Source organism: Homo sapiens, chromosome 12 (genome assembly GCF_000001405.40).
Source record: "Homo sapiens chromosome 12, GRCh38.p14 Primary Assembly".
NCBI classification, from domain to species: domain Eukaryota; kingdom Metazoa; phylum Chordata; class Mammalia; order Primates; family Hominidae; genus Homo; species Homo sapiens.
Window position 1 is genome coordinate 57,229,547 of NC_000012.12, and position 21,774 is coordinate 57,251,320.

Consider the following 21,774-nt stretch of genomic DNA (forward strand, 5'->3'; position numbering starts at 1 on the left):
TAACCCTGGGGCTACAGACGGGAATCATAAAGAAAAAAGCGGTGAGTGGGCGAACTACAATTCCCAAAAGGCCACAAAGGGGCCACCACTACGCATGCGTAGATCCCTCCCGTTAGCTTTGGCGCCTCAGCGAGCTCTTCTCGCGCATGCGTTCTCCGAACGGTCTTCTTCCGACAGCTTGCTGCCCTAGACCAGAGTTGGTGGCTGGACCTCCTGCGACTTCCGAGTTGCGATGCTGTACTTCTCTTTGTTTTGGGCGGCTCGGGTAAGAATGGGGCTCCAAACGCTGGGTAATCAGTGGAAAGGAAGCTCTTCTCCTACCTTAGTTCCTAGTCACAAACTCTGGGGTTCTCTTGGCTTTTCCATGCACGTGGATTGGGGCCTCAGGGAGCGGACGTGTAACTGGGGAATCCCCAAGACCCCTGGGCGCGCGTGGAGTTAACTGCGAGCCTGTCCTCATTCTGGCGATCAGACGCCCCAGGGCCTCGTGACCGCCCATTTCACGTGGCATTAGGGGAGAGGACAGCCCCGGATGCCCCGCGGACCCGGTGCTGGCAAATGAGCGGAGTTTTCGGCCTGGTCTCACAAGCTGAGCCTTTCCGGCCAGCTCTGAGCCCTGCAGATGATGCAACCGAGCTTCACTGCTTGCATCAGGCAGGGGTCCCGGCGGCAGTGAGGGCTGGAAGGAGGTGGAACGGGTAGGGGGCTAAGTAAGGGGAAAGGGTATTGGCTTACTCTCGGGCAGATCCCCACCCCCACCACTCCCACACAGCTCTTCCTCACGGACTGCTAAAGGTCTCCCCTCCCACCTGCATTGCTCTACAATCTGTGGCCTCAGCCCTTGCCAACTCTGCCTCTTCCCCCGCTGACTGGGGTATCAGTTTATGGTGCCCTGCAGGAAGACCCTCTTGTTCCTGTGGGTGGGAAGGTTCTGGAATCTCAGTTGCCCTCTCTGGAGTTGGGGAGACATAGGCTTTTGGAGGACAAGCTTTGCAGAGTGGTTCATGGAGTGAGGTGGTGGGAGATTTCTGAGGTGCGGTGCGGTGAATGGAGCAAATCAGAACCACCCCTTGGACGTTGATCTCAAGCTTGGCTCCAGAACTGGCTTTTGAAGGTGGAGGTGGGGGTAGTGAGAACTGAAACAGGCTGGCTGGACAACTGGCAGCTTGGTGTGGCCTTAGAAGCATGAGTGAGGGTGGCCGGGAGACGATTTGTCTGGACTGTTGTGATTTCACCCTGACTTTTCCTGCCTTCAGCCTCTGCAGAGATGTGGGCAGCTGGTCAGGATGGCCATTCGGGCTCAGCACAGCAACGCAGCCCAGACTCAGACTGGGGAAGCAAACAGGGGCTGGACAGGCCAGGAGAGCCTGTCGGACAGTGATCCTGAGATGTGGGAGTTGCTGCAGAGGGAGAAGGACAGGCAGTGTCGTGGCCTGGAGCTCATTGCCTCAGAGGTGGGACCTGGGGAGATGGGCAGGGGTTGGGCCACCATGGGTACAGGAAGTAACAAAGTTATCTTAACTGATATTTCTCCAAAACCCCCTTTCACACTCAGGACCTTTCTTTGGGCTTTATCTTCCTTTCTTATCTCCCTCAAGCAAAGGCAGTGCAAGTCCAGTTTATGGGGTTGGGACATTTAGGGAGCCTCCAGGGTCCCTACAGTTTCATCTGATCCCTTCCTTCCTTCCTCCTATGAGGAAGGAGGAGCCTAGAAGCACAAGTTTGAGTGGGTAGGTGGCATTGAGGGGCCACTGCTCATGGCAGATGGGTTTCTGAGAATGCTGCCTCTGGCTTTGCCCCAGGCCTGGTGCTGAGTGAATGGAGCTTTCTGCAGGGAGTACTCCCGCTTTCAGCTCTGGCTCTGGCAGGGAGGGACTGTGGGAGTCCAGGGGAAGGGGCTCAATACCTTCTGACATTGCCCCCCACCACCCCAGAACTTCTGCAGCCGAGCTGCGCTGGAGGCCCTGGGGTCCTGTCTGAACAACAAGTACTCGGAGGGTTATCCTGGCAAGAGGTGAGGGCTGGAGGGCAGTGTCAGGGATGGTGCTCCCAGTGGGGGAACCCACCTGTACCTTCCCAGTGTTCATTGAGGAGTGAACTTCCCAGTCCTTTGCTGATGGTTGAGAGTCCTTTCTCTGTGCCCTCATTACCCCTCTCCCACGGCAGATACTATGGGGGAGCAGAGGTGGTGGATGAAATTGAGCTGCTGTGCCAGCGCCGGGCCTTGGAAGCCTTTGACCTGGATCCTGCACAGTGGGGAGTCAATGTCCAGCCCTACTCCGGGTCCCCAGCCAACCTGGCCGTCTACACAGCCCTTCTGCAACCTCACGACCGGATCATGGGGCTGGACCTGCCCGATGGGGGCCAGTGAGTATGGATGGGCTGGCTGATGGTCTTGGCGGCAGGATTGGTGTGGGAAAGGAGTTATTTATTGAATACCTACTGTGGACCATACAGATGGAACAGGCCTTGCCCTGTCCTGCATGTCACAGTGGATGAGGAAGATAAGATCCCAGTTATAGTGCCTACCACAGAGTGGACAGAGCAGTGAGGCGGTGTGTCCTAGGACTGGTGTTCTGGGGACAGAGAACTGTGGAGTTGAAGGGAGTGGTTAAGTCCGGGGGTCCTTCCACCCAGGCCTTCTTACTTCCTCTCACTTCGCAGTCTCACCCACGGCTACATGTCTGACGTCAAGCGGATATCAGCCACGTCCATCTTCTTCGAGTCTATGCCCTATAAGCTCAACGTGAGTGCTCTAGGGTGTGGGGAGGGGCTCTTGGCCCTGGTGGTGGTCCTCCCCTGGAGAAGCTGAGGGCCTGGAGCGCCGGGCCGTCCTTAGGGTTAAGGAGGAGAGTGAGCTGCCCTGCTTCCTTCTCAGGGCTTTAGCTGTTTGTGTGTCTGTCCAGCCCAAAACTGGCCTCATTGACTACAACCAGCTGGCACTGACTGCTCGACTTTTCCGGCCACGGCTCATCATAGCTGGCACCAGCGCCTATGCTCGCCTCATTGACTACGCCCGCATGAGAGAGGTTGGTGGGGGGGGCTGGAGACTGGGCACCTCCCCAGGGGGTGGTGAGGAGGTGTGGGAGGAGGGCAGCCTTGGGCAGGCCTCTCCGGGCCCTCCCCAGGCTGAGGCCTTGCCTCTGTACCTGCCCAGGTGTGTGATGAAGTCAAAGCACACCTGCTGGCAGACATGGCCCACATCAGTGGCCTGGTGGCTGCCAAGGTGATTCCCTCGCCTTTCAAGCACGCGGACATCGTCACCACCACTACTCACAAGACTCTTCGAGGGGCCAGGTCAGGCTCCCTGAGGTCGGGCCTTGCCTTTCCCTGCCTTCAGGCCTATTCCTGGGGCACTGTTGGCCTGGACCTGAGAGGAATTCATTCCCACCTGCAGCCCTTAAGACTCCTGCCCAGTCTGTGAGAGTTCTCCTTCTCTTGCCCATGGTGGCCATGCCCTGGCAGGGGATTTGTGGATGGGATTGAGGGGCTGATTCCCTCTACCACTGGAATCCAGTGTACCAAGCCCACGTGAGCTGTGCCCTTGGGGCCCAGGTCCGCCAGCTTCCTCTGCCTTCTCTGTCCCTTGTCCTTCTTTTCAGCTTAGACTCTGACCATCCACCTCTCACACAGGTCAGGGCTCATCTTCTACCGGAAAGGGGTGAAGGCTGTGGACCCCAAGACTGGCCGGGAGATCCCTTACACATTTGAGGACCGAATCAACTTTGCCGTGTTCCCATCCCTGCAGGGGGGCCCCCACAATCATGCCATTGCTGCAGTAGCTGTGGCCCTAAAGCAGGTTGGGGATCCTGTCTTTGTAGGGTGTGGGGGGGCAATGGCCTGGAGGCTTAGACCCTGCACCTTGCTAACTGATGCTGGGGCTGATGGAAGGGAAATGCCAGGATGGAAGGAGTCAAGGCTGGGGTCACAGAGCTATGCTGAGGGTGCAGGGCCAGAGGGTAGTGCAGGGCTTGGGTCCAGGCCTAGGGTGACAGCTGCTACTGTCTCATCTCCAGGCCTGCACCCCCATGTTCCGGGAGTACTCCCTGCAGGTTCTGAAGAATGCTCGGGCCATGGCAGATGCCCTGCTAGAGCGAGGCTACTCACTGGTATCAGGTAAGCCAGCAGGTGATGGGTGAGGGCCTCTGTAGCTTCAGGCAGAGGCCCAGGACTCACCACTCCCCATTTCTTACCCACCTTAGGTGGTACTGACAACCACCTGGTGCTGGTGGACCTGCGGCCCAAGGGCCTGGATGGAGCTCGGGCTGAGCGGGTGCTAGAGCTTGTATCCATCACTGCCAACAAGAACACCTGTCCTGGAGACCGAAGTGCCATCACACCGGGCGGCCTGCGGCTTGGTGAGACCTGGGGTTTGAGGAGGGAAGGGGCTCCCATGCTGGATGACTGCCAGGTGACCTTGGGCTATGCTCATCCCTCCCCTTGTGCCTCGTTCCAGGGGCCCCAGCCTTAACTTCTCGACAGTTCCGTGAGGATGACTTCCGGAGAGTTGTGGACTTTATAGATGAAGGGGTCAACATTGGCTTAGAGGTGAAGAGCAAGACTGGTGAGTGAGCAAGAAGGAGCCCCGGGCCAGCCAGTTCCCACTCACTGTCTGCTCCCTCCCCCAGCTGATCTCACTGCCTTCCCTAGAGCTCTGACCACTTGTTTCCTCACCCTCTCTCTCTAGCCAAGCTCCAGGATTTCAAATCCTTCCTGCTTAAGGACTCAGAAACAAGTCAGCGTCTGGCCAACCTCAGGCAACGGGTGGAGCAGTTTGCCAGGGCCTTCCCCATGCCTGGTTTTGATGAGCATTGAAGGCACCTGGGAAATGAGGCCCACAGACTCAAAGTTACTCTCCTTCCCCCTACCTGGGCCAGTGAAATAGAAAGCCTTTCTATTTTTTGGTGCGGGAGGGAAGACCTCTCACTTAGGGCAAGAGCCAGGTATAGTCTCCCTTCCCAGAATTTGTAACTGAGAAGATCTTTTCTTTTTCCTTTTTTTGGTAACAAGACTTAGAAGGAGGGCCCAGGCACTTTCTGTTTGAACCCCTGTCATGATCACAGTGTCAGAGACGCGTCCTCTTTCTTGGGGAAGTTGAGGAGTGCCCTTCAGAGCCAGTAGCAGGCAGGGGTGGGTAGGCACCCTCCTTCCTGTTTTTATCTAATAAAATGCTAACCTGCCCTGAGTTTCCATTACTGTGGGTGGGGTTCCCCTGGGCCAAACAGTGATTTGTCTCCCTCAATGTGTACACCGCTCCGCTCCCACCACCGCTACCACAAGGACCCCCGGGGCTGCAGCCTCCTCTTTCTGTCTCTGATCAGAGCCGACACCAGACGTGATTAGCAGGCGCAGCAAATTCAATTTGTTAAATGAAATTGTATTTTGCCCACGGCTGCTTCTGTTTGATCCCTGGGGACAGAGGGGAGCAAGGGAGGGGAGTGGCAGGGGGAGGCCCAGGTGTGGGGCTGGAGGGGGTACTGGCGGCAGCGGGAGGCAGTAGGCTTGGGCAGGGGAGGAGTGCGCTGCGCCTCAGGAGGCAAAGGTGCCCCAGCCTGGGCAGGCCCTGGACCAGCCCAAGCTGAGCAGCGCCGCCCCTGGGCTGGCTCTCAGAGCCTGGGCTAACGTGGAGCCCGCCACGTCGCTTGGCACTCAGAGGCCCCTGCTTCTTGTTGGCTCACGTAGGCCACGCTCAACACGTAGCCTGTGCCACACCCTTCGAGGCCCGGGTAGGAGGGCAGAGGGGCTGGTCTGGGCTCTTGGTGGACCCCTGCTGGTGCTGCCTGCCTCCTCCTCCCCCACGTGGGACTCAAGCCAAGGGTCAGAGGCGCTTCCGCTGCTGGGAGCAAGGGAGGAGAGTAGGGGTGGAGCAGCCTCCCCTCTGCGTGGGAACCCGGCCTGTGTAAGCAGTAGCGGGACAGGGTGGCCGGAGTGATGCCTTGGGGCCTGCGGGGAGGAGTGGAAGAAGTGGATGGGCTGGCTGGCTGTGGCTTGCATGGCACTGGCAGCCCAGCCTGGCTTAGAAGTCTGGCCGGTCCTTCTTCAGCTTCTTATAGTCAGTGGAAACTGCAAGGAACTAAGAGGAGAGGGAAAGGGGGTTGCGCTGAGTACCCCAAGCCTCCCTTTGCTTCTAGTACGGGAGTTGTGGGTGCCAGGACCAGGAGATAAGAGGATGGGGGGCAACCCTAGAGCCATCGAGAGGTACCTTGTATTGGTCATTGGGGCTCAGGCGGTTCCAGGGCTCCGGGTTGTTCTTTCTGTCCCAGCTGTGGAGCAGGAGGGGGGAGGGTTAGGGTCTCCTCCCTGGGACCCAGAACTCTGTAACCCAATTTGACCCCCAAGCTCCACCCGGAGGCTCTGGCCCCACCCCAGTACCCCTGCCTCCTGCCCTGGGGGTCCCATTTCCCAGATACTGACAAAGGAACGGTCATATTAGCAGGTGCTGACAAGTGAGACAAGAAGCCTGTCACCATTGTCAGCATGGGGCTGCGTGACAAACTGACAACGGGGCCCAGGGACTCCCACTTGCTGCCTGCCACCCTAGGTTAACCCTAAGAGCAGAGTCGTGGGAATCAGACACAGATCCCAAGGGGCTGGGTTTCTGGTGATGTGCCGGGAATTATAAAGCCATGGGTGCGCCTTTCACTTCCGGACCCTCTCCGCGGCCGGGTGTGAAATCTCCGCCCCACACTGGTCCCCAATGCCACCCCCAGCAGCTCACCCGGCCACAACCCCAGTGCTCTGGTGAGGACTTAGAGGTACCCAAAAGCCCAAGCCCACCGCTGGCTGAGCGGCGTCGTCATGGCAACCCGGCCGGGAGAGGCGCGGGTTCCGCATTTCAGGGCGGGCCAAGCTGAGGAGTGAGCGGCCAGGTGGGCTGGAGGGGATACGGGGGTCTCCCAGGTCAGCAGTGGGCTCCAGCCCTGAGATGCCGGTCGGTACAGTCGAAGGTGCATGCAGCAGGGCACGGGATCCCCACTAGGGCCGCCTATTTCCACCCCATCTTGCCTCACCCAGGCCCCCGTGAGCATCCCAAGCCGTGCCTTTACCAGACGTCGGGGCTGCGAAGGGCGAGTCGCAGCAAGTAAAGCGCAGCGCTGCCCATGCCCAGGCAGATTAAGCCGATCATCGGGATGATCTGCGGGGAAGAGGGAGAGCACTTTTGGGGTCAGCCCTCTCCCCGCAGTTCCCAGTCACCCTTTACAAGCTTTTCTGCCCACCCCAACCCCACCCCGGGTCTGGTGCTCCCTCCCTGGAATCTCCTACAACCATATTTCCTGGCATGGTCTCCCTCACCCTACAGCGATCGTGTCCAAGGTAGTAGATTTGTGGGACACAGGGACGTTTCGGAGAGAGACTGGGGCAACCTTAGGGGAAGAATAGGAGCGCTGAGGGACCTGGGCACAAGGCAAGGCATTGGGGGATTTGGAGGGTGGGGCAGCAGGAGAGTTAGGAGTTAGAGGTTCTGAGGTTCTGAGGACTCACCCCCGGATGTCTTTTGATCTGCCGGTAGAAGCGGGCCCCAAGACTGGCTCCTGCCATATCGTTGTTTTCCCAGTCTGGTCCTCTGCAGTGGCTCTGTCCTCTCCCTCCTCCTGGGGTCCCGCCCCTGAGTGGGGAGGGATCAGCCCAGCCCAGAGCAGCTTAGCTTGGCCCAGCCCGTGCTTCTTTGGACTCACCCCACCCCAACTTAGCTCACTTTCTCCTCAATTCCAGGCCCAAAGCCTGTAGGGGAATTGTCTGGGAGCCAAGTGGTTTCTGCTCTCCGACTCTCTCCTCCAGATGTCTGCACCTGGACCAAGGGACACCATCATTCTTGGGGCTTCTGGCATCTGAGGGAAGGACCTCAGTGGCATAGGACCCCATAAGATGTGGGAGGAGGCATGGCCATGGGACAGGCACTTAGCAAAATGCATGTGTGGAATGTTCACAGGTGGGACCAGGAGGGGCTAAGGCCAGTGAGGGCATGTGCAGCACTTCCCTGACACCCTTAGAGCTGTCCAGGAGCGGGTCCTGAGAACCCTGGTTCTGTCCCCTCCACAGTGTAGTGGGGGAAGGAGGAAGACAGGCCCACACCGTAAAGCTCCCCCAGCCCCTCTTGTTCTGAGTGGTTTCTTCAGGTTGTGGTTGGACTGGAATTGCGGTTGGAGGCTGGAAGAACCAGGTGTATGTTAATCATGGCTCAGGATAGAATACGCCAGTTTATTTATTCTACCACAGTCATGGCAGTGAGGCTTGAGAGACTTGCTTGCTCTGCCTACCTGGGGTAGGGTAAAGGTGGGGCCGCCCAAGGAGGCCATCCACTTCCTCTGGCTGTGGGATGGATAGGAAGGGAATGGAGTGGGGGAAACAGGAAAGATCGGACAGATGCTGAAAGAGAACAAGACACAGACACAGAAATGCAAGCGATTCCCTCCTGTCCTCAACCATCTCAGGTGTGTGCTGTGCTGCTGGGGTGGGGAGGCTCACAGCCCCCGTCTCTGGGGAATTTGGGTCTTAGGGACGTAGGAACCGAGTCCTAATATCTCTCCCCACTCCCACGATAACCTCCACCACCCCCTCCCTCCTCGCAGCCGATCCTGCAGAGCACCTCCCCCTCCAGAGCCCGCCCTGTGGAGGGCGCGGGCGGGAGCGAGCTATGCACCCGTCTCTGGGATCGTCGGGGTACAGGGAGGGAGAGGGCGCTTTCTAGGGTCCGCCTCCCTTTCCTTCTCGCTGATACTTCCGCCGCCCCCTACTCTGACAAGCGCGGCTGTAATTAGGCTGCGGGGTCCCGGGCTCTCCGCCTCACTCCGGCGGATAATGAGATAAAGTGTCAGAGACACGGCGAGAACAAAGAGACAGAGACTCGCTGCGATGTGTGTGGGGGGGGCGGGGGAGCGGGGCTGACGGGCTGTTAGAGCCTCCAGCAGCCCAGCCCTCCCGAGAGCCCGCGCCTCCAGGGCCCAGGAAGGGAGGGCGTGTCCTGTCACCCGCGCACCCCAGCCCTCCAGTCTCTGGGACCAAAAAACAATCCCAGAGCTCAAACTCGAGCGGCCGCACAACTGGGCTGCACATCTGGTTCTCTGTGGCACAGCTGGGGAGCCAGGACGCCGGAAGGGGCGCCTGGTCCTTGCGCCTTTGCTCACAGGCCCTCGCCTGCTTCCTTGTGCCCTTTGTTCTGAGTTCCGGTGACCCCGGCCAGGTCCCAAATTCTCCGTCGCGCTCCTTTTCCAGAGCCGCCGCTGTCCCTCCGGCCTTGGGCCTCCGCCCCGCTCACCGAGATGCAACGTTACATTATTGCCTCCGCTCCGCCTCTCCGCCACTCTCTGACCCTTCTCCTGCTTCTGGTCCCTGTCTCTGTGAATTTATTTCTAAGCCCCCTTCCATCTTTGGTTCCCGTCTCTGGCTCGTGGCCCATGGGGCCGATCTGGAATACAGGACTCCTTGGGTTCCGGATCCCATCTCTCCTCGCTCCCCACACTTTCCCACCACGAGGACTCAGGCCACGCTGGCCCAGCGGGGTGAGGGACCGCAGGAGTCATTAGCCGCAGATTAGGCACGGCCCGGGATCCCGCTGGGACTGGACTCCAAGCGCTAACCCGCACCAGGATCCCAATCCGCGCGCTGGCTGCACAGAGGGTCAAAGGCAGCGGGACTCAGCGGATCGAGCGTGTTGCAGGGGCCGTGGGCTCGGGCGCCCCCTGGAGGCCGAGCGGCCCCCAAGCTCGGGGAAGAGGCCTTGGGCACCCCCTGTCGGGCAGTGTCGACCCTGCACTCCCGGCGTTCGGGCCGCTAAGTTGGTGCCTGGAGTGTCCGTCCACGCCCAGCCCGTCACTCCGCCACTCCCGCCTCCAAGACAGTGGGTCCTGCAGCCTCCACTCTTCTGGTGTGAGATGGGACCGGAGGGCGGAGAGGGGACGCGGAAGCTCCTATCTCTCCAGCCACAATCGGCACCCAGGGTTCAGGCGGGTTCCTCTTCTGGGGTTGGGCATCCTCAGATGCCTGGGGGCCGGGGAGGCGGGGGCTTCATCTCTGCTTCTGGGCTGCAGATTCGAGATTGCCCTAAGCCCTCTGACCCGGCCTGTCCTAGCCTCTGGCTGCCCTTCTTTCTGCCTCTTGTTCTTTCTGCCTTCTGTCTGCTTCCTGTCTCTGGGTATGTCCATCTCTCTCTTCCCTATTCTGGCTGTGTCTGTCTGCTCTCCCTCTTGCTGCCTTCCCTACCTGGCTTTGTCCCTCTGCATCGGTTTTTCTGTGTCTCTTTGTGTCTCGCTCCCTCCCTCCACATCTCTCCATCTCACTGTGTCTCTCTTTACTAATGCCTCTCTTTGTCTCTGTCTTTATCTCTGTCTCTCCCCAACCCCACTCCCCAGCTCTATTCCTATTCTCTGGGTTGCTGCCTCTGGGGACTGAAGCAGCCCAACAGGGCAGCCCGGAGACGCCTCGGGGCACTGCCCGGGGTCCTCATCCTGGTCACCTCCACATGCCCGTCAACTCCGCGCAGCGTTGATCTTCCCGCTGCGGCTGTGGGACGTGGAGGGGCGCCCGGAAAGGAAGACACAGGGCCCAGCATCTGCTCGGGAGCCCCGGGGCCCCTGACCCCCCTCTGCCATTATTAAGGGCGCCTGGTCCCGAGGCACCGAGATGATCATGATTGCATCAGCCAGACAGAAGCGGAGCCGGGAGCTGCGCGGTGAGCGAACGAGTGAGACAAAGCCGCCCGCGCCATCTGTTTATGCAAAGCGCTCTCCGCCGGGGACCCCGGCGTCCCGGCTCCTGGCCGGGCTTGGGGCAAGGGTCATAAGCCCATTCCCACCCGGCGCCCCCACCGCGCCTTGGCTTCCCCTCTCCTCAGCACCCAGAGGGCCGCTGGGCGAGCGGAACGGAAAGGGGGCGGGGGTGTTGATGTGATTGGAGCGGACGCGGCTGTTTCTTCAATAATGGATGGAGATGATGCGGATGGCGAAGCCGAGCTGGCCGGGAGAGGAGAGAGGAATAGAAATGGGGAAAGGAAGGAGTGGGGGCGGGAGACTCACCCCGGCGCGCGCACACACACACTCGCGCGCGCACGTGCGTCACACTGTCATTCGGATACACGCCGCCGCGCGGCTCACACCCAGGCACACGCCTACGCACTGTCACTGAGACACACATACCTGCAGGCGGAGACGCGATGGCAACACACACTCCCCGCTGGCTCTTCCTGATTTTCACACATACACAGACCTGCAGGCGGAGACGCACGGAAACGCCCCCACGCGGAGGCACACCCGGGCAAAATCACCCAGATGGGAGCTGGGGACGGGGAAGTGGACAAACCCGACAGATATAGACACACTCAGGGGCACAGACACACACCCGGGCACAGAGTCGGACACACCTGGGGCTCAGGTAGACACACCTCACATACCCAGGGAACAAACGGACACACACTAACCACACGCCGGAGATACAGACGTCCATAATTGCCAGGGGCACGGAGAGCCCACCCACACCCACTCAGAGGCTAGCACACCTTAGCATATGCAGGAGTTGCCATCTGTGCCCTGCGGGGTGGAATGTGGCAGGGAGGTCGTCAGGGTCTCCGGAGCAGGCCTTGTTAGCCTAGCAGTATGATGAGGTCTTGGTGACAGGAGGCGCCTGGGGCTGTGGACTAGGAGGCCCGTGCACCAGGGCTTAGCTGTCTGCAAGCTTCCTTGACTGGCCCCTAGGGCGGGTAGCGCCGACGTTGGGCTGCCCCTGAGCAGCAGACCGGGCGGACCCCACTGACCCAAATCGGGCAGTTTCGTGGAGGGAGAGCCTAAAGGGAACACTGGAGCTGCACCGAGAGATTCTCAGGATCCCCAACACTGCTGCTGGTGGGGTTTATAGAAAGGGTCACTCTGTACTCTGCCTTTTCCCCCCGTGCTGCCCAGTCTTCCAACTTCAAGGGGCACGTGTGTGTGTGTGTGCGCGCGCGCGCGCGCTGAGTAGAGTGGGCAGTGGAGGAGGTTGGGGTGCCGGTTGTCTTGTACCCCAGTACCGGCCCTTCCTCGGATCTGTTTTCAATTCAGTCTGCTCCTTGGCCCAGACTTATGACCTTTGCAGCATGCGGCAGTATCATCCATCACCCAGGCGCCGTTTAGGGGGATGGAGGGCGCTGGGAGCTCACATAGGGTCGCTGTCACGCCTGCCGCCCTCTCTGGGGACCTGCTCTCCGGCCCGCGGGCCAGGGCTTAAGAGTCTTGGTGAGTAATGACGGGAGGGTGTGACCGTGGGGCTCGATCGGGACACTGGGTCACATGTCCCCACCCCTGGTACCCTAGCACCCCTCCTTCTAGTTCAGCACAGCCTGTTTCCCCGCTTTTCCCGCCCCCCTTCTCTCGGGCCCTTTGCTTAATTTCCTATTAACTGCTGATAAATCCAATTAAACCGCCGCTCTAATTAGGGACAGCTGCCGGCTCAGTGAGGCTAGGGAGGGGGGCGCCCCCCGAGTGTTGGGGGAGAACAGCCGCTCTCCCTGCTTCTCGGCATCCGCACACCAGCATTGCCGCCCAATGAGCCAGTAAATTGGTTTTGCCTTAGCATTGGCGGGGGTCTCTCGAGGATCTCGGGGGGCTCTGATTTTGAGTCCCTCAGACCTTGATGAATAGAGACGACCCGAGCCCTCGCGGTCCCTCCCCTCATACATTCCTGGTAGGTGGATTTCAAGGAAGGATAAGGACAGAATGCTTGATTTGCGTGTGGTTGGTGTGTGTGTTTGCCTGTGATCTGTTCCTATTCCAGCTCAATCGCGATTAAAGGGGGGGGTCTTCTTTAATGACTCCGCCCCCACCCCCTCAGGCATCCGGGACCGTCAAGGGCAAAGGGAACAGAAAACTGAACCCGGTTCTGCAGAGTCTTCTTGTGTGCTTCCCTACCCCCATCACACCTCAGCCTTCTGGAAGGGGGGCGCGCCCGTCCCAGGCCTCCTCTTCCCCAGCCCAGCTGAGCCTCTGCCCTCCCCCCGCCAGCAGCAGATGGTGCCCGGGCTCCCGCTGCCAACCTTGCTAGGCGGTGCCAACCTCGGTCCTGGCAGACAACGGGCAGACGAGAAGAGGAGCTCCTGGCTGGCCAAGCCGACCCTCCCCCACCCGGCATCGAGCTCAAGACCCCCCCCACACACGCCTGCCCCACTCCAGCGACCACCCCAGCCTGCCTCTCACTGGGTCCGCTCTCAGGTCCCCAAACTCCTCGTCTCCTTCTGCTCCCTTCCCCACACCTTCCTGCTCCTCGCCACCTGCCGCCCTGACCAGGGCCGGCGTATTTGCATATTTGCATATGCAAATAATAACATTTGCATACGGTGCTCCGCAGGGGTGTCTCCGCGAGAGCCGGTTAGCTGTCTGCCCTCCGTTCTCACTCGGTACCTGTCGGAAAGGGTTAGGGCAGGGGCCGCGCGGGTGGGGTTAGGCCCCCGGCCTAGCTAGCTCGGTTCTCGGAGGACTTGAGGAAGTGTTGCCATGGAGACGGCACGCACCCCACCCCCTCCCAGGCCCAGGGTCTCGGGCTTGGTGTCTCTGGTTGTCTCCCCTTACCCACCCTCCACCCCCTCCCCATCCCTCGCTCTCCAACCGAGATCTTGCATCGCCCCCTGGCGGCCTAGCTCGGCGCCAAGCCAGATTCCGAAATGCAAGGGGCTGCCTGCGGCTAAATCGCCAAGAGCAAGGGGGGACTTACCCTACTACAAGATCCTGCTCCCAACCGCTGGGGCGCGGGGGCGGCGACTCCAGCCCTGCGCTCCCCTTTCTTTACTGACTACAGAGGCCTCACCTGGCGGGCGCACTTCCCACCTCCCGCCAACCTCAGCCCAGATGGGTCTCAGGTTACCCGATGGTAACGAGGCGGGACAGCTAGGGAGGATTCTCCACCCCTCCGCAGGCCCTCTCCTCAACCCCAGTTAAATAACAACTTTTCTAAGTTTTGTCAAAAGTTTAATAAATTCGCAACATTCGACAGTTCGCCCTCCCTCGCCCCCGCCCCCCGCCCCAGTCCCTGGCTCCTCCTAGTAGATACGCGTTTTTTTCCAGCTCTTGCAAGCGGGGCCTGAAAGGTTTCGGGTCCGGGCTGCTCTGGGCAGCAGGTATCCGAGGCCCCAGGCTGGGGAAGGGGGCGAGAACCAGTCCCTTCCCGGAAGCCCCGTCGCGCTCAGGCGGGCCTTCCTACCCCTCCTCTCCCAGCAGTCCCGTTGCTTTCGCCCCCCTCCCCAAACTCCACTGGGCCCGCCCAGAATGGGGTGTGGGTGTCTCCCGCTTGCAGGCGCCCGCACGCCTAAATTTCCTCTAGAAAGTCGGTGGGAAACAGCCCCACCTTGCGGCCGGTGTAGACCTTGACGTAGCCGCCCGCTTCGTCTCCTTTCTGCACCACGATCTAGAAGATTAAAGGATCAGAAGTAGGAGAGGAATCAAAGGAAAAGGTAGGAGAGGACAGCAGGGGAGCCGGGGTTTACAGGGGCTCACCCTAGTCTTATTAATGGTTAAGCTCTCCAAGGAGTGTGGTGGGCTAGGGAGCATTCAGGCCTGGGATTGGGTTGGGGCAACAGCCTACCTGGTCCTTCTTGAGAGTGATCTGCCCTATCTCGCGGTTCCCCACGAAGGATCTCGTCACGCGGTGCACACGTTCTCCAGCCCGGACCCGAATGATGAAGTTTGGAGGGAAAAATCCGACCTTCTCCCCGATTTTCCCCTAGGGAAGATAGTAGGGAGAGTCCATCTCTCAATGTCGGGTTCTGGACTCAACCCACACTCCACCCTAGCCCTAGCCATTTCTCTCACCCGCCACCATTCTTCATTGGAGTCATCAATGACTGTGATCTTCTCTCCTGGCCTGGGAGGGGAAGGGAGGGGCCTCACTCACATAGCAGGTCCCCTGCTGTGCCCCGGGTCCAGCATCAATAGGCTCCAAGCCCTGAGTCCCCCCTTTTCCTTTCCCTTGGGGGAACCCAGCTCTTTCCTCTTCACTCCGCAGTACCAGCCCCCTGCCCCAAGGCCTCTCACGGGAAATCCAGATCGTCCTTCTCCAGGGCTTTGAACCGATAGAGAGCCACAAAGTAATGAGACTGCTGGAAGCCAGGCTGCTTGTGCTGGGGGTGCAAGGGAATGATGAGTCTTAGGGCTCCTCTACCCCACACTGAGGGGCAGGATTCCAAGGCAGGGACATTCACCACACACTCTACACTCCAACTCTCTTCTAGGTCCCTGAACTGAGAGAAGTGTTTTGGTCGTGGGTGGGTGTGCAAGTTGATGGAGAGTGTGGGTCAGAAGTGATGGGAAGCCTAGGAGTTAAAGAGTGAGCTTCTGCCAGGGCCATGAGTAGTGGTGTCAGAGCTGGGTTGGGGAGAGAACTGGGTTCCTTGCAGGGAGGAAGGATTCTTACCTTGTCATCAGGTGTCTTCTTCTCAGCCTTCTTATCCCCTTCAGGGTTTCCTGGGATAGGAAACACCAACAAATTGTCTGTCTCCTGGAGGGCAATTCTTATTCTCTTACCCTTTTGTGGAAGGGCCTCGTCTATCCAAAGCTGGCCTGCCCTTTGCTCCTCCACCCTCTGTTCCACAGCTGAGCCTCTGATCCTACTCCATCTCTGGATGGAGGTGGGTAACACTCACCATCCTGGGGTTTGCCTTCCTCTGGTCTGGCCGACTCTGGCTCCTCCTCCATCATGGCTGCTACAGGCTGGAGGGGGCACCAGAGTTAGGGAGACGCTGTCTTGGGAACACATGCCCTGGCTGTCTATAATCAGGTCAGAGAACTATAGAATAATGGGATCTCAGAGATCTCAGAGTTGGAAGAGGCCTTGGAGGAAATATCTAGTTCAGCCATCTGCCTAATGCAGGAACTTTTTTTTTTTTTTTGAGACGGGTCTCCCTCCGTCACCCAGGCTGGAGTGCAGTGGCGCAATCTTGGCTCAGTGCCAGCTCCGCCTCCAGGTTCACGCCATTCTCCTGCCACAGCCTCCTGAGTAGCTGGGACTACAGGCGCCTGCCACCACGCCCGGCTAATTTTTTGTATTTTTAGTAGAGACGGGGTTTCACCGTGTTAGCCAGGATGATCTCAATCTCCTGACCTCGTGATCCACCAGCCTCGGCCTCCCAAAGTGCTGGGATTACAGGCGTGACCCACTGTGCCCGGCCATGCAGGGACTTTCCCTAAAACATCCTATCAGGTGGGTCACCCACATTCTGCTTGAATGTAGCTAAATAACAGGGAATTCACTACCAGATTCCAGGTCCTTGACTATGCTGTCAGCCTTTAAAAATACTCCAGTGTGTAAGTAAAAAGTGAGCAGCATGGTCAGGCGCGGTGGCTTATGCTTGTAATCCCAGCACTTTGGGAGGCCGAGGTGGGCGGATCACCTGAGGTCGGGAGTTCGAGACCAGCCTGACCAACATGGAGAAATCTCCTCTCTACTAAAAATACAAAATTAGCCAGGCATGGTGGCACATGCCTGTAATCCCAGCTACTCGGGAGGCTGAGGCAGGATAATCGCTTGGACCCGGGAGGCAGAGTTTGCGGTGAGCCGAGATCGTGCCATTGCACTCCAGCCTGGGCAACAAGAGCGAAACTCTATCTCAAAAAAAAAAAAAAAAAAAAAAAGAGCAGCACAATTTTTATAATTCCCTTAAAAGAATATAACCCAAGAGTATGTTAGCCCTTCTGGAAGCAGCCATATCACATTGCTAGTGCCTTACAAGTCATTAATTCACTCCATAGAAATCCCTTATCTGTGTCCAACCTCCATATCAACAAGTTTGAGGCCAGATTTCTAGTTGTTTTTTGCAGTTGATTTTTTTGATCAGATATGTACATTTATCTTTTCTTTTCCCTTCCTTCCTTCCTTTCCTTCCTTCCTTCCTTTTTTTTTTTTCTTGACAGGGTCTCACTTTCTCCCCCAGGCTGGAGTGCAGTGGCTTACTGCAACCTCTGCCTCCCGGGTTCAAGCGATTCTCCTGCCTCAGCCTCCCAAGTAGCTGGGATTACAAGCGAGCACCACCACACCCGGATTTTTTATTTTTATTTTTGTATTTTTAGTAGAGACAGGGTTTCACCACGTTGGCCAGGCAGGTTTCGAACTCCTGACCTCAGGTAATCTGCCCACCTCGGCCTCCCAAAGTGCTGGGATTACAGGCGTGAGCCACCATGCCTGGCCGAGTTTTGTGCAATTTTAGGGGAAGACAATCCATTACTTCTGTCAGCTTTCCAAATGGGAAAATGACCTGCTCCATGGGATCTCTGGGAGGGACCTCGTGGGGAGGTACAGTGCTCACATTTTTCTTATCTGCCTGTCCCTTCTTCCGTTCCTTGTTTGCCATGATCACCCCAGTGCGCAGGGTTTCAAACACAGGATCATTGCGATTGGCAGCAGCTAATCGAATGGGAGGAGAAAGAAGACATTATTGGGAAGGCAGAGAAAGGCTTGGAGGAAAGGAAGGGAGAGGTGGGATTGAGTAGATGGATACCCATGTGTGTGTTGGGTGGCGGTGGGGGCGCCGCGGGGAAGATTAGGGAAGGGTCAGCTAGGCAATACCCAGGACACCAATCTATAAAGGACTTTAAAAACATCACTGGTGATGTAAAGTGAGGGAGGAAAGTATTTATTAGAACTCCTTCCAGGCAGAGCATTATATGATGTTTGAAACACAACTTTGCTTGCTTGGGAGCTGAGACATGCGCAGAATCACTATTCTCCTTCTAAGGAGAATGGGCCCTTAACTGCTGGCTTTTGTTCTGCTAAATGGCATGTGTAAGCTGAGGTGCTGCCACCAATAGGTTCTTCTTTTTCACCCATGCTCTTCACAGAGTTCAGCCTCTCCTCCAAATAAATGTTGAGCAAATTTGTCAATGAATATGTTTTTAAGGGTTGCCAAATTATTATTATTATTATTATTATTATTTTTTTTTTTTTTTTTTTTTTTGAGACGGAGTCTCGCTCTGTCACCCAGGCTGGAGTACAGTGGCACAATCTCGGCTCACTGCAAGCTCCGCCTCCCGGGTTCATGCCATTCTCCTGCCTCAGCCTCTCCGAGTAGCTGGGACTACAGGCGCCTGCCACCACGCCCGGCTAATTTTTGTGTGTTTTTAGTAGAGACGGGGTTTCACCGTGGTCTCGATCTCCTGACCTCGTGATCCACCCGCCTCGGCCTCCCAAAGTGCTGGGATTACAAACGTGAGCCACCGCGCCCGGCCTGGGTTGCCAAATTATGAACCTGCCCAGGGTGCCTGCAGCCTTTGGGTCTTGCCCCGAGTCTGATATGACTCTGTAGTAAGGATGAGGACAATCTAGAATCCTTGTTCTTGCTTAGAAATGATTTTGCACACAAAGAGCACAGATTCTGAAGCTAGCAACTGAAGATTCCAGTCTTGGCTCTACCTCTTGCTAACTGTATGTAGTTGCAACTAAATCGTATCTCCCTCTGCTGTAAAATGGGGATATTGCCTCTGCATCCAAATGGATATAAAAATGTGAGGTTGAGGGAGAATTATGGGAAACAGAAAGTTTCTGTTTCAGAATTTGGCTCCCAAAGCTAGAGATGGCATGAAACCATCTCTAGGCTTGCCCATTCCCTCATGTTCCATAAAGGGCACTTACAGAGATCTTTGACACAAGCGTACTGCTGGTTGCTGTAGAGTGGGGAACTATAGGCCCGATGGAAACCAGGTGGCTGTAGGATGGGATGAGAGGAAGCATTAGAGGTAGCAAAGTAAGGTCCAGAAGCCTATCTCTCCCAGGAGTGCTCACCCTTTCTCAGAAAAAGAGATGGGCTGAGAAAGAAAAAGCAGAGAAATGAATGGGATGGAGGAGAGACCAGCAAGGGGTAGCTGGCTGGTGACATGTCCCCTCTTTTTTTTTTTTTTTTTTTGAGACGGAGTCTCGCTCTGTCACCCAGGCTGGAGTGCAGTGGCACAATCTCGGCTCACTGCAAGCTCCGCCTCCCGAGTTTACGCCATTCTCCTGCCTCAGCCTCCTGAGTAGCTGGGACTACAGGCACCTGTCACCACGCCCGGCTAATTTTTTGTATTTAGAGACGGGGTTTCACTGTGTTAGCCAGGATGGTCTCGATCTCCTGACCTCGTGATCCGCCCACCTCAGCCTCCCAAAGTGCTGGGATTACAGGCGTGAGCCACCACGCGTGGCCATGTCCCCTCCTTGCTCTCCACAGCCTACTCACGATCTTGCCGAAGCATCTCTGCATTTCCACATAGGACTGACAGTGTTCATGGATGTTGGTTTTGCAGTTCTTACAGCGAAGCCCAAACTTGTTGTTGACTTGGGAAAGGGGGAGAAAATTCAGATAAGGTTCCAGATTGCCCTTTCCCTTTGTACCACTGCTGCTACTCTTAGGTTTCCTTTTCTGTCTGGGACCCTACTTGCTCAATCTCTAATAGCATTGCCTTACACCAACTCTAGCCACAGCCCATCTGCTACAAATACTCCTCTCCTATGCCCTCTCCCCAAACCTCTGCCTTCAATATCATACTCTCTTCACTTCCCTTCATGACTCACGAACAATCATCCGGGCACAGACATCACAGAACTTTGGCTTCTTGAAGAAGTGATCTTTGAATTTGTGGGGCTTATCGTTGACCAGCTTAGGAGGTTCTGGGGGTGGCTCCTCCTCCTCCTCTTCTTCCTCTTCCTCTTCCTCATAGATGTAGTAGATGGGCCCACCCCCAGCTCCCACTGCCTCCCCATTGGCCTGGGGCTCTGGGGGAAGTTCCATCTCCTTTGTCCCTGTAGAACCCTTCCTGAGTAACTGCTTTAGCCGCTGTAGCTGAGGGAGGGAGTGAAGAAAACCCAATGTTAAAAGGACTTGTCACCCTCTCTAGAGTAGGGGGGCGCTAGAGCAAACTAGACAGTTTTCTAGTTTCAGGCAAGGAATGTACCCCAGGATTAGGGGGGTATTGGTATTGGGGACTGCAGGTGCTGGCCAGCAAAAAATGAGTCACACACAAATGAGATCAATTTAAGCACTCTTCTTCAGCTGTAATGGCTTCCCAGCCCCCCACACCCAGTGGTCAGAGGCCCAGACTCACCCCACTTTGCCGAGTCTCTGCTGGGAAGGAGGGCTTAGGGGACTCCAGCACCTCCTTTTCTGTCATCCTGCAAGAGGTTGGACCCCACTATGAAATCTAATCCCTTTCATTCTTCTCTCCCTTTCTGTCCCTTGCAGTAGGGTGGTCCTCAAAGGGGAGGCTTTCGGAGAAATGTGATGAGAGATTTTGCTGTTGTTACTGTTGAGATGGGGTCTCACTCTGTCACCCAGGCTGGAGTGCAGTGGCGTGATCATGGCTCACTGCAGCCTCGACCTCCCAGCCTGAAGCGATCCCCCTACCTCAGCTTCCTGAGTAGCTGGAACACAAGGTGCACACTACCTGGCTACTTTTTTATTTTTTGTAGAGACATGGTCTTGCTTTGTTGCCTAGGCTGGTCCCGAACTAGCTCAAGCAATCTTCCTGTTTCAACCTCCCAAATTGTTGAGACAGGCGTGAGCCACTGCACTGGGCCAAATACAGATCCTTTGGCAGGTTTTATTAACAGATTTCATGGAGGTCTAGAAAAAAGCTTAACATGGCCGGGTGTGGTGGTGCATGCCTGTAATCCCAGCACTTTGGGAGGCTGAGGCAGGCGGATCACTAGAGATCAGGAGTTCAAGACTAGCCTGGCCAACATGGTGAAACCCCATCTCTACTAAATATATAAAAATTAGCCGGGTGTGGTGGCGGACGCCTGTAATCCCATCCACTCAGGAAGCTGAGGAAGGATAATCGCTTGAACCCGGGAGGCGGAGGTTGCAGTGAGCCGGGATTGTGCCACTGCCCTCCAGCCTGGGTGACAGAGCAAGACTTCGTCTCAAAAAAAAAAAAAAAAAAAAAAAAAAAGCCCAACAGACTAAAGAGCTTCCCAATTAGTTCCTCAAACTGATACTCATCCTTCCATCCTGAGGGGCGACCCCATAGTTTACAGCCCTTACACAGTGTTCAAAGCTGCGTGGTTTACGTCATTTTCCTATAGGTACTTTGTTTCTCCTGGAAATCTGTGGGCAACAGAGATGTGATGCATACCTTCCCAGATCTCCTCTCTTCAAGAGGTTTAATGTGTGTCCTCGTGTGCACACAAGGAAGGATGGACTGGAGACATTTGTCCTCCCCTACTTTTTTCTTGAGCCCTGGGGGCCCTGTGCCTAGTTCTGTCCCAGCCTGCCTCAGGGCTCAGCTATTTTAAGTTTTCAGGGTAATATGAGCCTTTCCTTCCCTTACTACTTCATTCCCTTCACCCCACCCCCACCCCCACCCCCCGCTTCAATCCAAACTCATCCTAGAGTAGAATAATAATTTTACGCCTAAAACCCAAAAGACTCACAGACAAGGAGAGAAATGAAGAAGCTGAGTAGATTATAGATCAGGGCAGCTGGGGTGAGCAGTCGTGGAAATCAAGAGGATGAAGAGGTAACTTACGTTCGGGATTCCCTAAGTCAGTCCACAGGCTGTAGAGGGAGCTGGGAGCCTCGAGGCCTTGATGGTGGTGCTGGGGAAAAACTGGTCCTCTTCCTTGGGGGCTAAGCCCCCCCAGTACCCCCTGTGTTCACACCAGCTACCCAGTCGCTATTTGTAGACCTCCTAGCCTCCTGCCTTGGTGTCAGGGCTGAAATGACAGGGCTGGAGGAAAGTGGACAGCTGAGAAACACAGCTGACACAGAGAAATTGGACACTGAGAGGTCTGGGGCAGGGCCGGACCCTAACTCCTCCCAACCCCCTAGAGCTGCTGTTCCTTGATTCTTCATCT

General features: G+C 56.9%; 3 protein-coding genes across 19 annotated transcripts, besides 14 other annotated features; 1 reads left to right on the plus strand and 2 right to left on the minus strand.

Annotated features, from left to right (window-relative positions):
• SHMT2 (serine hydroxymethyltransferase 2) lies at window positions 165–5,389 on the plus strand. 10 transcript variants are annotated; one of them, NM_005412.6, is made up of 12 exons: window positions 165–265; window positions 1,257–1,454; window positions 1,935–2,014; window positions 2,167–2,367; window positions 2,665–2,746; window positions 2,907–3,029; window positions 3,158–3,297; window positions 3,634–3,799; window positions 4,017–4,116; window positions 4,203–4,358; window positions 4,457–4,564; window positions 4,688–5,389. In NM_005412.6, the coding sequence occupies exons 1-12, from the start codon at window positions 233–235 to the stop codon at window positions 4,813–4,815; spliced, it is 1,515 nt and encodes a 504-aa protein (NP_005403.2). In that variant the 5' UTR covers window positions 165–232; the 3' UTR covers window positions 4,816–5,389. The 10 variants fall into 10 exon arrangements, 6 of the variants coding, with proteins under 6 accessions (NP_005403.2, NP_001159828.1, NP_001159830.1 ...); NM_001166356.2 differs by having other exon boundaries at window positions 2,937–3,029; NM_001166358.2 differs by lacking the exon at window positions 165–265 and adding an exon at window positions 596–698.
• Window positions 305–364: an enhancer, noted in NCBI's record as "active region_6529". NCBI's record gives its function as "activates an Ori minimal core promoter by ATAC-STARR-seq in GM12878 lymphoblastoid cells {active_cell/tissue: GM12878}" and the evidence as "EXISTENCE:reporter gene assay evidence [ECO:0000049][PMID:35858748]".
• Window positions 465–734: an enhancer, noted in NCBI's record as "active region_6530". NCBI's record gives its function as "activates an Ori minimal core promoter by ATAC-STARR-seq in GM12878 lymphoblastoid cells {active_cell/tissue: GM12878}" and the evidence as "EXISTENCE:reporter gene assay evidence [ECO:0000049][PMID:35858748]".
• Window positions 1,638–2,218: an enhancer, noted in NCBI's record as "H3K27ac-H3K4me1 hESC enhancer chr12:57624967-57625547 (GRCh37/hg19 assembly coordinates)". NCBI's record gives its function as "activates a minimal SCP1, AML or CMV promoter by ChIP-STARR-seq in primed H9 embryonic stem cells {active_cell/tissue: H9 hESC(primed)}" and the evidence as "EXISTENCE:reporter gene assay evidence [ECO:0000049][PMID:30033119]".
• Window positions 2,219–2,800: an enhancer, noted in NCBI's record as "H3K4me1 hESC enhancer chr12:57625548-57626129 (GRCh37/hg19 assembly coordinates)". NCBI's record gives its function as "activates a minimal SCP1, AML or CMV promoter by ChIP-STARR-seq in primed H9 embryonic stem cells {active_cell/tissue: H9 hESC(primed)}" and the evidence as "EXISTENCE:reporter gene assay evidence [ECO:0000049][PMID:30033119]".
• Window positions 3,382–3,962: an enhancer, noted in NCBI's record as "H3K4me1 hESC enhancer chr12:57626711-57627291 (GRCh37/hg19 assembly coordinates)". NCBI's record gives its function as "activates a minimal SCP1, AML or CMV promoter by ChIP-STARR-seq in primed H9 embryonic stem cells {active_cell/tissue: H9 hESC(primed)}" and the evidence as "EXISTENCE:reporter gene assay evidence [ECO:0000049][PMID:30033119]".
• Window positions 5,357–11,216, minus strand: COXFA4L2 (cytochrome c oxidase hypoxia associated subunit FA4L2). 3 transcript variants are annotated; one of them, NM_020142.4, is made up of 5 exons: window positions 11,203–11,216; window positions 7,483–7,789; window positions 7,047–7,135; window positions 6,203–6,263; window positions 5,357–6,073 (listed from the first exon to the last, which is right to left on the minus strand). In NM_020142.4, the coding sequence occupies exons 2-5, from the start codon at window positions 7,537–7,539 to the stop codon at window positions 6,017–6,019; spliced, it is 264 nt and encodes an 87-aa protein (NP_064527.1). In that variant the 5' UTR covers window positions 7,540–7,789; window positions 11,203–11,216; the 3' UTR covers window positions 5,357–6,016. The 3 variants fall into 3 exon arrangements, with proteins under 3 accessions (NP_064527.1, NP_001381889.1, NP_001381890.1); NM_001394960.1 differs by lacking the exon at window positions 11,203–11,216 and adding an exon at window positions 11,133–11,198; NM_001394961.1 differs by lacking the exon at window positions 11,203–11,216 and having other exon boundaries at window positions 7,483–7,558.
• Window positions 5,560–5,854: an enhancer, noted in NCBI's record as "tiled region #225; HepG2 Activating non-DNase unmatched - State 4:PromP, and K562 Activating non-DNase unmatched - State 14:Gen5'". NCBI's record gives its function as "activates a minimal TATA promoter and a strong SV40 promoter by Sharpr-MPRA in HepG2 cells, with weak activation in K562 cells {active_cell/tissue: HepG2 | K562}" and the evidence as "EXISTENCE:reporter gene assay evidence [ECO:0000049][PMID:27701403]".
• Window positions 5,733–5,852: an enhancer, noted in NCBI's record as "active region_6531". NCBI's record gives its function as "activates an Ori minimal core promoter by ATAC-STARR-seq in GM12878 lymphoblastoid cells {active_cell/tissue: GM12878}" and the evidence as "EXISTENCE:reporter gene assay evidence [ECO:0000049][PMID:35858748]".
• Window positions 5,913–6,052: an enhancer, noted in NCBI's record as "active region_6532". NCBI's record gives its function as "activates an Ori minimal core promoter by ATAC-STARR-seq in GM12878 lymphoblastoid cells {active_cell/tissue: GM12878}" and the evidence as "EXISTENCE:reporter gene assay evidence [ECO:0000049][PMID:35858748]".
• Window positions 8,295–8,897: an enhancer, noted in NCBI's record as "H3K4me1 hESC enhancer chr12:57631624-57632226 (GRCh37/hg19 assembly coordinates)". NCBI's record gives its function as "activates a minimal SCP1, AML or CMV promoter by ChIP-STARR-seq in primed H9 embryonic stem cells {active_cell/tissue: H9 hESC(primed)}" and the evidence as "EXISTENCE:reporter gene assay evidence [ECO:0000049][PMID:30033119]".
• Window positions 9,581–9,850: a silencer, noted in NCBI's record as "silent region_4579". NCBI's record gives its function as "represses an Ori minimal core promoter by ATAC-STARR-seq in GM12878 lymphoblastoid cells {active_cell/tissue: GM12878}" and the evidence as "EXISTENCE:reporter gene assay evidence [ECO:0000049][PMID:35858748]".
• Window positions 9,966–10,871: an enhancer, noted in NCBI's record as "H3K4me1 hESC enhancer chr12:57633295-57634200 (GRCh37/hg19 assembly coordinates)". NCBI's record gives its function as "activates a minimal SCP1, AML or CMV promoter by ChIP-STARR-seq in naive and primed H9 embryonic stem cells {active_cell/tissue: H9 hESC(naive and primed)}" and the evidence as "EXISTENCE:reporter gene assay evidence [ECO:0000049][PMID:30033119]".
• Window positions 10,451–10,540: an enhancer, noted in NCBI's record as "active region_6533". NCBI's record gives its function as "activates an Ori minimal core promoter by ATAC-STARR-seq in GM12878 lymphoblastoid cells {active_cell/tissue: GM12878}" and the evidence as "EXISTENCE:reporter gene assay evidence [ECO:0000049][PMID:35858748]".
• Window positions 12,682–13,585: an enhancer, noted in NCBI's record as "OCT4-H3K4me1 hESC enhancer chr12:57636011-57636914 (GRCh37/hg19 assembly coordinates)". NCBI's record gives its function as "activates a minimal SCP1, AML or CMV promoter by ChIP-STARR-seq in primed H9 embryonic stem cells {active_cell/tissue: H9 hESC(primed)}" and the evidence as "EXISTENCE:reporter gene assay evidence [ECO:0000049][PMID:30033119]".
• Window positions 13,912–21,641, minus strand: STAC3 (SH3 and cysteine rich domain 3). Of its 6 annotated transcripts, none has more exons than NM_145064.3 (12): window positions 21,447–21,641; window positions 20,025–20,091; window positions 19,495–19,762; window positions 19,160–19,257; window positions 18,580–18,652; window positions 17,258–17,355; window positions 15,599–15,665; window positions 15,370–15,419; window positions 14,991–15,076; window positions 14,769–14,820; window positions 14,542–14,679; window positions 13,912–14,364 (listed from the first exon to the last, which is right to left on the minus strand). In NM_145064.3, exons 2-12 carry the CDS (start codon window positions 20,088–20,090, stop codon window positions 14,266–14,268), a joined length of 1,095 nt encoding a protein of 364 aa, NP_659501.1. In that variant the 5' UTR covers window position 20,091; window positions 21,447–21,641; the 3' UTR covers window positions 13,912–14,265. The 6 variants fall into 6 exon arrangements, 5 of the variants coding, with proteins under 5 accessions (NP_659501.1, XP_011536428.1, NP_001273185.1 ...); XM_011538126.3 differs by having other exon boundaries at window positions 20,025–20,184; NM_001286256.2 differs by lacking the exon at window positions 20,025–20,091.
• Window positions 19,352–19,411: an enhancer, noted in NCBI's record as "active region_6534". NCBI's record gives its function as "activates an Ori minimal core promoter by ATAC-STARR-seq in GM12878 lymphoblastoid cells {active_cell/tissue: GM12878}" and the evidence as "EXISTENCE:reporter gene assay evidence [ECO:0000049][PMID:35858748]".

Excerpts from the sequence above, each read along its gene's own strand:
- SHMT2 (NM_005412.6), top strand. The coding sequence starts at position 233 with ATGCTGTACTTCTCTTTGTTTTGGGCGGCTCGG. Across the intron at positions 2,747-2,906 it reads CTATGCCCTATAAGCTCAAC|CCCAAAACTGGCCTCATTGA; the intron begins GTGAGTGCTCTA and ends GTGTCTGTCCAG. Across the intron at positions 3,800-4,016 it reads TAGCTGTGGCCCTAAAGCAG|GCCTGCACCCCCATGTTCCG; the intron begins GTTGGGGATCCT and ends TCTCATCTCCAG.
- STAC3 (NM_145064.3), bottom strand. The coding sequence starts at position 20,090 with ATGACAGAAAAGGAGGTGCTGGAGTCCCCTAAGCCCTCCTTCCCAGCA. Across the intron at positions 19,763-20,024 it reads CAGAGACTCGGCAAAGTGGG|CTACAGCGGCTAAAGCAGTT; the intron begins GTGAGTCTGGGC and ends TCCCTCCCTCAG. Across the intron at positions 14,365-14,541 it reads TCACTCTCAAGAAGGACCAG|ATCGTGGTGCAGAAAGGAGA; the intron begins GTAGGCTGTTGC and ends TTAATCTTCTAG.
- COXFA4L2 (NM_020142.4), bottom strand. The coding sequence starts at position 7,539 with ATGGCAGGAGCCAGTCTTGGGGCCCGCTTCTACCGGCAGATCAAAAGA. Across the intron at positions 7,136-7,482 it reads AGATCAAAAGACATCCGGGG|ATCATCCCGATGATCGGCTT; the intron begins GTGAGTCCTCAG and ends TCTTCCCCGCAG. Across the intron at positions 6,074-6,202 it reads GCCCCAATGACCAATACAAG|TTCCTTGCAGTTTCCACTGA; the intron begins GTACCTCTCGAT and ends CTCTCCTCTTAG.